Genomic DNA, 12,461 nt, shown 5'->3' with positions numbered 1-12,461 from the left:
TCTTTTGCTGTGCAGAGGCTCTTTAGTTTAATTAGATCCCATTTGTCAATTTTGGCTTCTGTTGCCATTGCTTTTGGTGTTTTAGACATGAAGTCCTTGCCCATGCCTATGTCCTGAATGGTAAAGCCTAGGTTTTCTTCTAGGGTTTTTGTGGTTTTAGGTCTAACATTTAAGTCCTTAATCCATCTTGAATTGATTTTTGTATAAGGTGTAAGGAAGGGATCCAGTTTCAGCTTTCTACATATGGCTAGCCAGTTTTCCAAGCACCATTTATTAAACAGGGAATCCTTTCCCCATTGCTTGTTTTTCTCAGGTTTGTCAAAGATCAGATAGTTGTAGATATGTGGCATTATTTCTGAGGGCTCTGTTCTGTTCCATTGATCTATATCTCTGTTTTGGTACCAGTACCATGCTGTTTTGGTTACTGTAGCCTTGTAGTATAGTTTGAAGTCAGGTAGTGTGATGCCCTCCAGCTTTGTTCTTTTGACTTAGGATTGACTTGGCGCTGTGGGCTCTTTTTTGGTTCCATATGAACTTTAAAGTAGTTTTTTCCAATTCTGTGAAGAAAGTCATTGGTAGCTTGATGGGGATGGCATTGAATCTGTAAATTACCTTGGGCAGTATGACCATTTTCACGATATTGATTCTTCCTACCCATGAGCATGGAATGTTCTTCCGTTTGTTTTATCCTCTTGTATTTCCTTGAGCAGTGGTTTGTAGTTCTTCTCGAAGAGGTCCTTCACATCCCTTGTAAGTTGGATTCCTAGATATTTTATTCTCTTTGAAGCAATTGTGAATGGGAGTTCACTCAAGATTTGGCTCTCTGTTTGTCTGTTATTGTTGTATAAGAATGCTTGTGATTTTTGCACATTGATTTTGTATCCTGAGACTTTGCTGAAGTTGCTTATCAGCTTAAGGAGATTTTGGGCTGAGACAATGGGGTTTTCTAGATATACAATCATGTCATCTGCAAACAGGGACAATTTGACTTCCTCTTTTTTTAATTGAATACCCTTTATTTCCTTCTCCTGCCTAATTGCCCTGGCCAGAACTTCCAACACTATGTTGAATAGGATTGGTGAGAGAGGGCATCCCTGTCTTGTGCCAGTTTTCAAAGGGAATGCTTCCAGTTTTTGCCCATTCAGTATGATATTGGCTGTGGGTTTGTCATAGATAGCTCTTATTATTTTGAAATACGTCCCATCAATACCTAATTGATTGAGAGTTTTTAGCATGAAGGGTTGTTGAATTATGTCAAAGGCCTTTTCTGCATCTATTGAGATAATCATGTGGTTTTTGTCTTTGGCTCTGTTTATATGCTGGATTACATTTATTGATTTGCGTATATTGAACCAGCCTTGCATCCCAGGGATGAAGCCCACTGGATCATGGTGGATAAGCTTTTTGATGTGCTGCTGGATTCGGTTTGCCAGTATTTTATTGAGGATTTTTGCATCAATGTTCATCAAGGATATTGGTCTAAAATTCTCTTTTTTGGTTGTGTCTCTGCCCAGCTTTGGTATCAGGATGATGCTGGCCTCATAAAATGAGTGAGGGAGGATTCCCTCTTTTTCTATTGATTGGAATAGTTTCAGAAGGAATGGTACCAGTTCCTCCTTGTACCTCTGGTAGAATTCAGCTGTGAATCCATCTGGTCCTGGACTCTTTTTGGTTGGTAAGCTATTGATTACTGCCAGAATTTCAGCTCCTGTTATTGGTCTATTCAGAGATTCAACTTCTTCCTGGTTTAGTCTTGGGAGAGTGTATGTTTCGACGAATGTATCCATTTCTTCTAGATTTTCTAGTTTATTTGCGTAGAGGTGTTTGTAGTATTCTCTGAAGGTAGTTTGTATTTCTGTGGGATCGGTGGTGATATCCCCTTTATCATTTTTTGTTGCGTCTATTTGATTCTTCTCTCTTTTTTTCTTTATTAGTCTTGCTAGCAGTCTATCAATTTTGTTGATCCTTTCAAAAAAACAGCTCCTGGATTCATTAATTTTTTGAAGGGTTTTTTGTGTCTCTATTTCCTTGAGTTCTGCTCTGATTTTATTTATTTCTTGCCTTCTGCTAGCTTTTGAATGTGTTTGCTCTTGCTTTTCTAGTTCTTTTAATTGTGATGTTAGGGTGTCAATTTTGGATCTTTCCTGCTTTCTCTTGTGGGCATTTAGTGCTATAAATTTCCCTCTACAAACTGGTTTGAATGCGTCCCAGAGATTCTGGTATGTTGTGTCTTTGTTCTCGTTGGTTTCAAAGAACATCTTTATTTCTGCCTTCATTTCGTTATGTACCCAGTAGTCATTCAGGAGCAGGTTGTTCAGTTTCCATGTAGTTGAGCGGTTTTGAGTGAGATTCTTAATCCTGAGTTCTAGTTTGATTGCACTGTGGTCTGAGAGATAGTTTGTTATAATTTCTTTTGTTTTACATTTGCTGAGGAGAGCTTTACTTCCAAGTATGTGGTCAATTTTGGAATAGGTGTGGTGTGGTGCTGAAAAAAATGTATATTCTGTTGATTTGGGGTGGAGAGTTCTGTAGATGTCTATTAGGTCCGCTTGGTGCAGAGCTGAGTTCAATTCCTGGATATCCTTGTTGACTTTCTGTCTCATTGATCTGTCTAATGTTGACAGTGGGGTGTTAAAGTCTCCCATTATTAATGTGTGGGAGTCTAAGTCTCTTTGTAGGTCACTCAGGACTTGCTTTATGAATCTGGGTGCTCCTGTATTGGGTGCATCTATATTTAGGATAGTTAGCTCTTCTTGTTGAAGTGATCCCTTTACCATTATGTAATGGCCTTCTTTGTCTCTTTTGATCTTTGTTGGTTTAAAGTCCGTTTTATCAGAGACTAGGATTGCAACCCCTGCCTTTTTTTGTTTTCCATTTGCTTGGTAGATCTTCCCCCATCCTTTTATTTTGAGCCTATGTGTGTCTCTGCACATGAGATGGGTTTCCTGAATACAGCACACTGATGGGTCTTGACTCTTTATCCAATTTGCCAGTCTGTGTCTTTTAATTGGAGCTTTTAGTTCATTTACATTTAAAGTTAATATTGTTATGTATGAATTTGATTCTGTCATTATGACGTTAGCTGGTTATTTTGCTCGTTAGTTCATGCAGTTTCTTCCTAGTCTCAATGGTCTTTACATTTTGGCATGATTTTGCAGTGGCTGGTACCGGTTGTTCCTTTCCACGTTTAGCGCTTCCTTCAGGAGCTCTTTTAGGGCAGGCCTGGTGGTGACAGAATCTCTCAGCATTTGCTTGTCTGTAAAGTATTTTATTTCTCCTTCACTTATGAAGCTTAGTTTGGCTGTATATGAATTTCCGGGTTGAAAATTCTTTTCTTTAAGTATGTTGAATATTGGCCCCCACTCTCTTCTGGCTTGTAGAGTTTCTGCCAAGAGATCCACTGTTAGTCTGATGGGCTTCCCTTTGATGGTAACCCGACCTTTCTCTCTGGCTGCCCTTAACATTTTTTCCTTCATTTCAACTTTGGTGAATCTGACAATTATGTGTCTTGGAGTTGCTCTTCTCAAGGAGTATCTTTGTGGCGTTCTCTGTATTTCCTGAATCTGAACATTGGCCTGCCTTGCTAGATTGGGGAAGTTCTCCTGGATAATATCCTGCAGAGTGTTTTCCAACTTGGTTCCATTCTCCCCGTCACTTTCAGGTACACCAATCAGAGGTAGATTTGGTCTTTTCACATAGTCCCATATTTCTTGGAGGCTTTGCTCATTTCTTTTTATTCTTTTTTCTCTAAACTTCCCTTCTCACTTCATTTCATTCATTTCATCTTCCATCGCTGATACCCTTTCTTCCAGTTGATTGCATCGGCTCCTGAGGCTTCTGCATTCTTTACGTCGTTCTCGAGCCTTGGTTTTCAGCTCCATCAGCTCCTTTAAGCACTTCTCTGTATTGGTTATTCTAGTTATACATTCTTCTAAACTTTTTTCAAAGTTTTCAACTTCTTTGCCTTTGATTTGAATGTCCTCCCATAGCTGGGAGTAATTTGATCATCTGAAGCCTTCTTCTCTCAGCTCGTCAAAGTCATTCTCCATCCAGCTTTGTTCTGTTGCTGGTGAGGAACTGCGTTCCTTTGGAGGAGGAGAGGTGCTCTGCTTTTTAGAGTTTCCAGTTTTTCTGCTCTGTTTTTTCCCCATCTTTGTGGTTTTGTCTACTTTTGGTCTTTGATGATGGTGATGTACAGATGGGTTTTTGGTGTGGATGTCCTTTCTGTTTGTTAGTTTTCCTTCTAACAGACAGGACCCTCAGCTGCAGGTCTGTTGGAGTACCTGGCCGTGTGAGGTGTCAGTGTGCCCCTGCTGGGGGGTGCCTCCCAGTTAGACTGCTCGGGGCTCAGGGGTCAGGGACCCACTTGAGGAGGCAGTCTGCCCGTTCTCAGATCTCCAGCTGCGTGCTGGGAGAACCACTGCTCTCTTCAAAGCTGTCAGACAGGGCCATTTAAGTCTGCAGAGGTTACTGCTGTCTTTTTGTTTGTCTGTGCCCTGCCCCCAGAGGTGGAGCCTACAGAGGCAGACAGGCCTCCTTGAGCTGTGGTGGGATCCACCCAGTTGGAGCTTCCTGGCTGCTTTGTTTACCTAAGCAAGCCTGGGCAATGGCGGGCACCCCTCCCCCAGCCTCGCTGCTGCCTTGCAGTTTGATCTCAGACTGCTGTGCTGGCAATCATCGAGACTCTGTGGGCGTAGGACCCTCCAAGCCAGGTGCGGGATATAATCTCCTGGTGCGCCATTTTTTAAGCCCGTCGGAAAAGCGCAGTATTCGGGTGGGAGTGACCCAATTTTCCAGGTGCCGTCTGTCACCCCTTTCTTTGACTAGGAAAGGGAACTCCCTGACCCCTTGGGCTTCCCGAGTGAGGCAATGCCTCACCCTGCTTTGGCTCGCGCACGGTGCGCTGCACCCACTGACCTGTACCCACTGTCTGGCACTCCCTAGTGAGATGAACCCGGTACCTCAGATGGAAATGCAGAAATCACCCATCTTCTTCGTTGCTCACGCTGGGAGCTGTAGACCGGAGCTGTTCCTATTCGGCCGTCTTGGCTCCTCCTAATTTTTGTTTAATTTCAATCTTCTGCATATGGCTACCCAGTTGCCCCAGTAGCATTTATTGAATAGGGAATTCTTTCCCCCATTGCTTGTTTTTGTGAGGTTTGTTAAAGATCAGATGCATATAGGTGTGTGGCCTTATTTCAGGGTTCTCTATTCTGTTCCCTTGGTCTATGTGTCTGTTTTTGTACCCATACCAAGCTGTTTGGTTACTGTAGCACTGTAGTATAGTTTGAAGTCAGGTAGCATGATGCTTCCAGCTTTTTTTTTTTTTTTTTTTTTGCTTAGGATTGCCTTGGCTATTTGGGCTCTTTTTTTGGTTCCACGTGAATTTTAAAATAGTTTTTTTTTCTAGTTCTATGAAGAATCTCAATGGTAGTTTAATCGGAATAGCATTGAATCTATAAATTGCTTTGGGCAATATGGCCATTTTAGTGATACTGATTCTTTCTATCCATGTGCATGGAATATGTTTCCATTTATTTGTGTCATCTCGATTTTTTTGAGCAATGTTTCATAGTTCTCCTTGAAGAGATCTTTTACATTGATAGTTAGCTATTTTACTAAGTATTTTATTCTTTTTGTGGCAACTGTGAATGGGAGATCATTCCTAATTTGGCTCTTGTCTTGACTCTTGTTAATGTATAGGAGTGCTAGTGATTTTTGCAAATTGATTTTTTATCCTGAGACATTGCTGAAGTTGTTTATCAGCTTAAGGAGCTTTTGAACTGAGACAGTGGGATTTTCTAGATATAGGATTATGTCATGTGTAAACAGATGTAGTTTGACTTCTTCTCTTCCTATTTGGATGCCCTTTATTTCTTTCTCTTGCCTGATTGCCCTGGCCAGAACTTCCATTACTATGTTGAATAGGAGTGATGAGAGACAGCATTCTTTTCTTGTGCCAGTTTTCAAGGGGAATGCTTCCAGCTTTTTCCTGTTCAGTATGATGTTGGCTGTGGGTTTGTCGCTGATGACTCTTACTATTCTGAGGTATGTTCCATCAGTATCTAGTTTACTGAGAAGTTTTACTATGAAGCGGTGTTGAGTTTTATTAAAAACCTTTTCTGCATTTATTGAGATAATCATGGTTCTGAACCCTTGCTGGAGAGATGACATGGTCATTTGAGGAAAGAAGGCATACTGGCTTTTTGAGTGGTCAGGGTTCTTGTGCTGGTTCATTCTTATAGTTCTGTTTATGTTATAAATGAATCAAACTTTGCATCCCAGGGATAAAGCCTACTTGATCATTGTAGATAAAGTTTTTGATGTGCTGCTGGATTTGATTTGCCAGTGTTGTGTTGAGGATTTTTGCATCAATGTTCATTAAGTATATTGGCCTAAAGTTTTCTTTTATTGTTGTGTCTCTGCCAGGTACTGGTATCAGGATGATGCTGGCCTCAGAATGAGTTAGGAAGGAGTTCCTCCACCTCAATTTTTAGGAATAGTTTCAGTAGGAATGGTACAATCTCTTCAGTTTCAGAGGTCATTATTGTTATGTTCAGGAGTTGAATTTCTTCATGATTTAGTCTTGGGAGAGGGGAGAGTGTTTATGTGTCCAGGAATTTATCAATTTCTTCTAGATTTTCTAGTTTATTTGCTTAGAGGTATTTATAATATTGTCTGATGGTTATTTATATTTCTATGGGGTCAGTGGTAATATCCCCCTTGTCATTTCTGATTGTGTTTTTTGGAATCTTCTTTCTTTTCTTGTTTATTAGTCTAGCTAGGAGTCTATTTTATTAATTTTTTCAAAAATCACCTCCTGGTTTTGTTGATCTTTTGAATGGTTTCTCACATTTCAATCTCCTTGAGTTCAGCTCTGATTTTGGTTATTCCTTGTCTTCTGCTAGCTTTGGGGTTGTTTTTCTCCTGGTTCTCTAGTTCTTTTTGTTGTAATGTTAGCATGTTAACTCGAGATCTTTCCAACTTTTTGATGTGGGCATTTAGTGCTATAAATTTCTTTCTTAACACCACCTTAGCTGTGCCTCAGAGATTCTGGAATGTTGTATTTTTATTCTCATTAGTTTTGAATAACTTCTTGATTTCTGCCCTTATTTCATCATTTACCTAAAAGTCATTCAGTGCAGGTTATTCAATTTCCCTGTAATGTATGGTTTTGAGTGAATTTCTCAGTCTTGATTTCTGATTTGATTGTGCTGGGCTTTGAGATATTGGTTGTTATACTTTCAGTTTTTATGCATTTGCTGAAGGATGTTTTATTTCCAGTTATGTAATCTCCTCTAGACTATGTAACATGTAATGATAAGACAAATGTATATTCTGGGCCAGGCGTGGTGGCTCATGCCTGTAATCCCAGCACTTTGGGAGGCCACAGTCCGTGGATCACCTGAGGTCAGGAGTTCAAGACCAGCCTGGCCAACATGGTGAAACCCCCATCTCTGCTGAAAATACAAAAATTAGCCATGCATGGTGGCAGGTGCCTGTAATCTCAGCTACTCAGGAGGCTGAGGCAGAATTGCTGGAACCCGGGAGGCAGAGGATGCAGTGAGCTGAGATCACGCAATTGCACTCCAGCCGAGGCCAACAACAGAAAGACTTCATCTCAAAAAAAAAAAAAAAAAGAAAAATTTATATCCTGTTGGTTGTTTTGGGTGGGTGACAAGATCTGTAGATGTCTATTAGGTCCGTTTGATCCAGTGCTGAGCTCAGGTCCTGAATATCTTTGTTAATTTTCCATCTTGATGATCTGTCTAATGTTGTCAGTGGGGTGTTAAAGTTTCCCACTATTATTGTGTGGGAGTCTAAGTCTCTTTGCAGGTCTCTAAGAGCTTGCTTTATGAATCTGGGTGCTCCTGTGTTGGGTGCATATATATTTAGAATAGTTAGGTCTTCTTGTTGAGTTGAACCCTGTACCATTATCTAATGCTGTTTACCTTTTTAAATCTTTGTTGGTTTAAAGACTGTTTTATCTGGAACTAGGATTGTAACCCTTGCTTTTTTCCATTTTCTATTTGCTTGGTAGATTTTTTTCCATCCTTTTATTTTGAACCTCTGTGTGTCATTGCATGTGAGATGGGTCTCTTGAAGACTGCATACCAATGGGTCTTGGTTTTTTATTTGGCTTGCCACTCTGTGTCTTATAATTGAAACATTTATCCCATTTACATTCAAGGTTACTGTTGATATGTGTGGATTTAATTTTGTCATCATAACACTAGCTGGTTATTTTGCAACATGTTTATGTGGTTGCTTTGTAATGTCACTGGTCTGTGTACTTCAGTGTGTTTTTGTAGTGGCTGGTAATGATCTTTCCTTTCCATATTTCATGCTTCCTTCAGGAACTCTTATAAGTCAGTTCTGGTGGTAGGAACTTCCCTCTACTTTTGCTTGTCTGAAAAGGATGTTATTTCTTTTTTACTTACGATTTGTACTTTGACCAGACATGAAATTATGGGTTGGAATTTCTTTTCTTTAAGAATGTTGAATATTGGCCCCCAGTCTCTTCTGTCTTTTTAGGGTTTTAGCCGAGAGGACCACTGTTAGTCTGATGGATTTTTCTTTGTAAGTGACCTGGCCTTTCTCTGAAGTTGCCTTTAACATTTTTTCTTGCGTTTTATCCTTGGAGAGTCTGATAATTAATGTATTATGGTGGTGATCTTCTTGTGAGGTGTTTTACTGGGCTTCTCTGCATTTCTTGAATTTGAATATTGTCCTCTCTAGCTAGTTTGGGGAAGTTCTCATGGATGATATCCTGAAACATGTTTTCCAACTTGATTTTATTCTCCCCATCTCTTTCAGAGACACCTATGAGTTGTAGATTTGCTTTCTGTACATAATCACATATTTCTCAGAGGTTTTGTTCTTTTTCATTCTTTTTTCTCTACTACTGTCTGTCTGATTTCAGAAAGCCAGTCTTCAATCTCTAAGATTCTTTCCTCTGCTTGGTCTATTCTTCTATTAATACTTGTGATTGCATTATGAAAATTCTTGTAGTGTGTTATTCAGCTCTATCAGGTTGGTTACATTATTTTCTATACTATTTTGTCTATCAACTTCTGCATTGTTTTATTGTGATTCTTTGCTTTCTTGGACTGGGTTTCAATGTACTTCCATAGCTCAATGATCTTCATTTCTGTTTATGTTCTGAACTACATTTCTCTCATTTCAGCCATTTCAGCCTGTTTCTGAATGCTTGCTGGAGGGTTGATGTAGTTGTTTGGAGGAAAGAAGGCACTCTGGCTCTTTAGTGGTCAGGGTTCTTGTGCTGGTTCTTTCTCATCTTCATGGACTTATGTTCCTTCAATCTTTGAGGTTGCTGATTGATATGGTTTGGCTATGTCTCTGCCCAAATCTCATCTGGATTTATAGTTCCCATAATTCCCATGTGTTGTAGGAAGGACCTGCTGAGAGGTAATTTAATCATGGGGGTGGTTACCCTCATGCTGTTCTCATAGTAGTGAGTTCTCACAAAATCTGACGGTTTTATAAGGAGCTTTTCCTCCTTTTATTCAGCACTTCTCTTTGTTTCTGCCATGTAAAGAAGGACATGTTTGCTTCATCTTTTGCCATGATTTTAAGTTTCCTGAGGCCTCCTCAGTCATGCTGAACTGTGAGTCAGTTAAACCTCTTTCTTTTATAAATTATTCAGTCTTTGGTATGTCTTTATTAGCAGCATGAGAACAAACTAATAGAGTAAATTGTTACTGCAGAGAGTGGGGTACTACTGTAAAGATATCCAAAAATGGGTAAGCAACTTTGGAACTGGGTAACAGGCAGAGATTGGAACAGTTTGAAGGGCTTAGAAGAAGACAAGAAAATGTGGGAAAGTTTGGAGCTTCCTATAGACTTGGAGGGCTCAGAAGACAGAAAGAGGTGGGAAACTTTGAAACTTCCTACAGATTTGTTGAATGGTTTTGACCAAAATGCTGTTAGTGATATGGACAACAAAGTCCAGGCTGAGGTGGTCTCAGATGGAGAATAGGAACTTTTTGGGAACTGGGACAGAGGTGACTCTTCAAAATCTTATGCTTTAGCAAAGAGACTGGTGGCATTTTGCCTCTGTCCTAGAGATCTGTGGAACTTTGAACTTGGGAGAGATAATTTAAGGTATTTAGTGGAATAAATTTTCTAAGCAGCAAAGCATTCAAGAGGCAACAGAGCATAAAAGTTTGGAAAATTTGCAGCCTGATGATGCAGCAGAAAAGAAAAACCAATTTTTGAGGGAGAAATTCAAGTCTCAAGCTGGCTGCAGAAGTTTGCATAAGTAAAGAGGAGCTAAATTCTAATCACCAAGACAATAGGGAAAACGCCTCCAGGACATGTCAGAGACCTTCACGGCAGCCCTTCCTATCACTGGCCTGGAGGCCTAGGAGGGAAAGATGGTTTCCTGGGCAGGGTCTAGGGCCCCCCTGCTGTGTGCAGCCTCAGGACTTGTTGCCCTGTGTTCCAGCTGCTCCAGCTGTGACTAAAAGGGGCCAAGGTACAGCTCAGGCTGTTGCTTCAGAGGGTGCAAGCCCTAAGCCTTGGCAATCTCCACATGGTGTTGGGCCTGCGGGTGTGCAGAGGATGAGAACTGAGCTTGGGCCCCTCTGCCTAAATTTCAGAGGATGTATAGAAATGCCTGGATGTCTAGGCAGAAGTCTGCTGCAGGAGTGAAGCCCTCATGGAGAATGTCTGCTAGGGCAGTACAGAAGAGAAATGTGAGGTTGGAGCCCTCACACAAAGTCCCCACTGGGGCACTGGCTAGTGGAGTGAGGGCAAGAGAGGGTCACTGTCTTCCAGACTCCAGAATAGTAGATCCACCTACAGCTTGTGACTGTGGGCCTGGAAAAGCCACAGACACTCAATGCCAGCTGTGAAAGCAACCAGGAGGGGGCTGTACCATGCAAAGCCACAGAGGCAGAGCTGCCCAAGGCTGTGGGAGCCCAATCTTGCATCAGTGTCACTTGGATATGAAACATGGAGTCATAGAAGGTCATTTTAAAACTTTAAGGTTTAGTGACTGTCCTGTGGGATTTCAGACTTGCATGGGACTTGTAGCCCCTTTGTTTTGGCCAATTTATTTCATTTGGAAAGGGCGTGTTTATCAAGTGCCTGTACCCCCACTGTATCTAGGAAGTAACTAACTAACTTTTGATTTTACAGGCTCATAGGTGGAAGGGACTTGCCTTATCTCAGACGAGACTTTGAACTTGGACTTTTGGGTTAATGCTGGAATGAGCTAAGACTTTGGGGGACTGTTGCAAAGGCATGATTGTGTTTTGAAATCTGAGGACATGAGATTTGGGAGGGGCCGGGGGTAGAATAATATGGTATGGATGTGTCCCCACCAAAATATCATCTTGAATTATAGTTCCCATAATCCCCATGTGTCATGGGAGGGAACCAGTGGAAGGTAATTTAATCATGGGGGTGGACCCTCATGCTGTTCGCATAATAGTACGTTCTCATGAGATCTGATGGTTTTATAAGGAGGTTGCCCTCTTTTGCTCAGCATTTCTCCTTGCTGCTGCCATTTGAAGAAGGATATATTTGCTTCCCCTTCGACCATGTTTGTAAGTTTCCTGAGGCCTCCCCAGCCTTGCTGAACTGTGAGCCAATTAAACCGTTTTTTCTTTATAAATTACCTAGTCTTGGGTATGTCTTTATTAACAGTGTGAGAATGGACTAATACAGTGACTTGGGTTTTTTTTTTAATTTTCTTTTATCATACTTGATCACCTTGAGGGGTTCATTGTGGTACAAGGTGGATTCAGTTGACTGGCTTCATTTCTGGAAGATTTTATGAGGCCAATGCTCAGCTCCCAACTCCTGGACTGCATTGGGCCCCAACTTTGTTTTCTGTCTCTTAAGTTTAGTATTTCACCATAGTTGGTGGGACTGAGGTGCTCCTGGACCAGTGGTCACTACACTCCAATGGGTGATGTCAGCCAAAGCATTTCATACTGCAGTGACAGTGGGATCTATCCTCATTTGCACATGCCAGTAGCAGTATTAGTGGCAGCATGGTGGGGTACACACTTGTTGGATGTGGCAGGTTGTTAGTGGGTGTCAAGATGCCTGCCTCCCTGTGGGTATTCATCACAGTGGCAGAGGGAATGCAGCTGGGAGGGGGGTGGGAGGCCCCTGCTGTCAACTTTGTGCATGGTCACTCTTGTGGTGGTTTTGGCTCGGTGGTGAGGAGCTAGCAGATGCAGGTCTGAAATATTTCTCTGTGCACTGCAAACAGGAGTGATTGCCCATGGAAGGGGAGGACCTGCTGTTCTCTGTTCCTAGTTTCACTCCCATGGCAGTGCTGGTGCAAGAGTGGGGGACTAGCAGAGATTGGGCTGGCTGGCTCTGTGCCTGCAATTCTCCATCTGCAATGGCAGTTGGCAGGGAGAAGGGTGGAAGACTACACTCTTGCTGCAGCAGTAGCAGGTTGGGGTACACACATACTCACA

General features: G+C 41.5%; 1 annotated feature.

Annotated features, from left to right (window-relative positions):
* Positions 10,087-10,597: an enhancer, noted in NCBI's record as "NANOG hESC enhancer chr14:39098611-39099121 (GRCh37/hg19 assembly coordinates)". NCBI's record gives its function as "activates a minimal SCP1, AML or CMV promoter by ChIP-STARR-seq in naive and primed H9 embryonic stem cells {active_cell/tissue: H9 hESC(naive and primed)}" and the evidence as "EXISTENCE:reporter gene assay evidence [ECO:0000049][PMID:30033119]".

This window comes from Homo sapiens, chromosome 14, assembly GCF_000001405.40.
Source record: "Homo sapiens chromosome 14, GRCh38.p14 Primary Assembly".
Classification (NCBI taxonomy): Eukaryota; Metazoa; Chordata; class Mammalia; order Primates; family Hominidae; genus Homo; species Homo sapiens.
The sequence above is the reverse complement of the archived record's forward strand: the minus strand, read 5'-3'. Positions and strand labels throughout refer to the sequence as shown.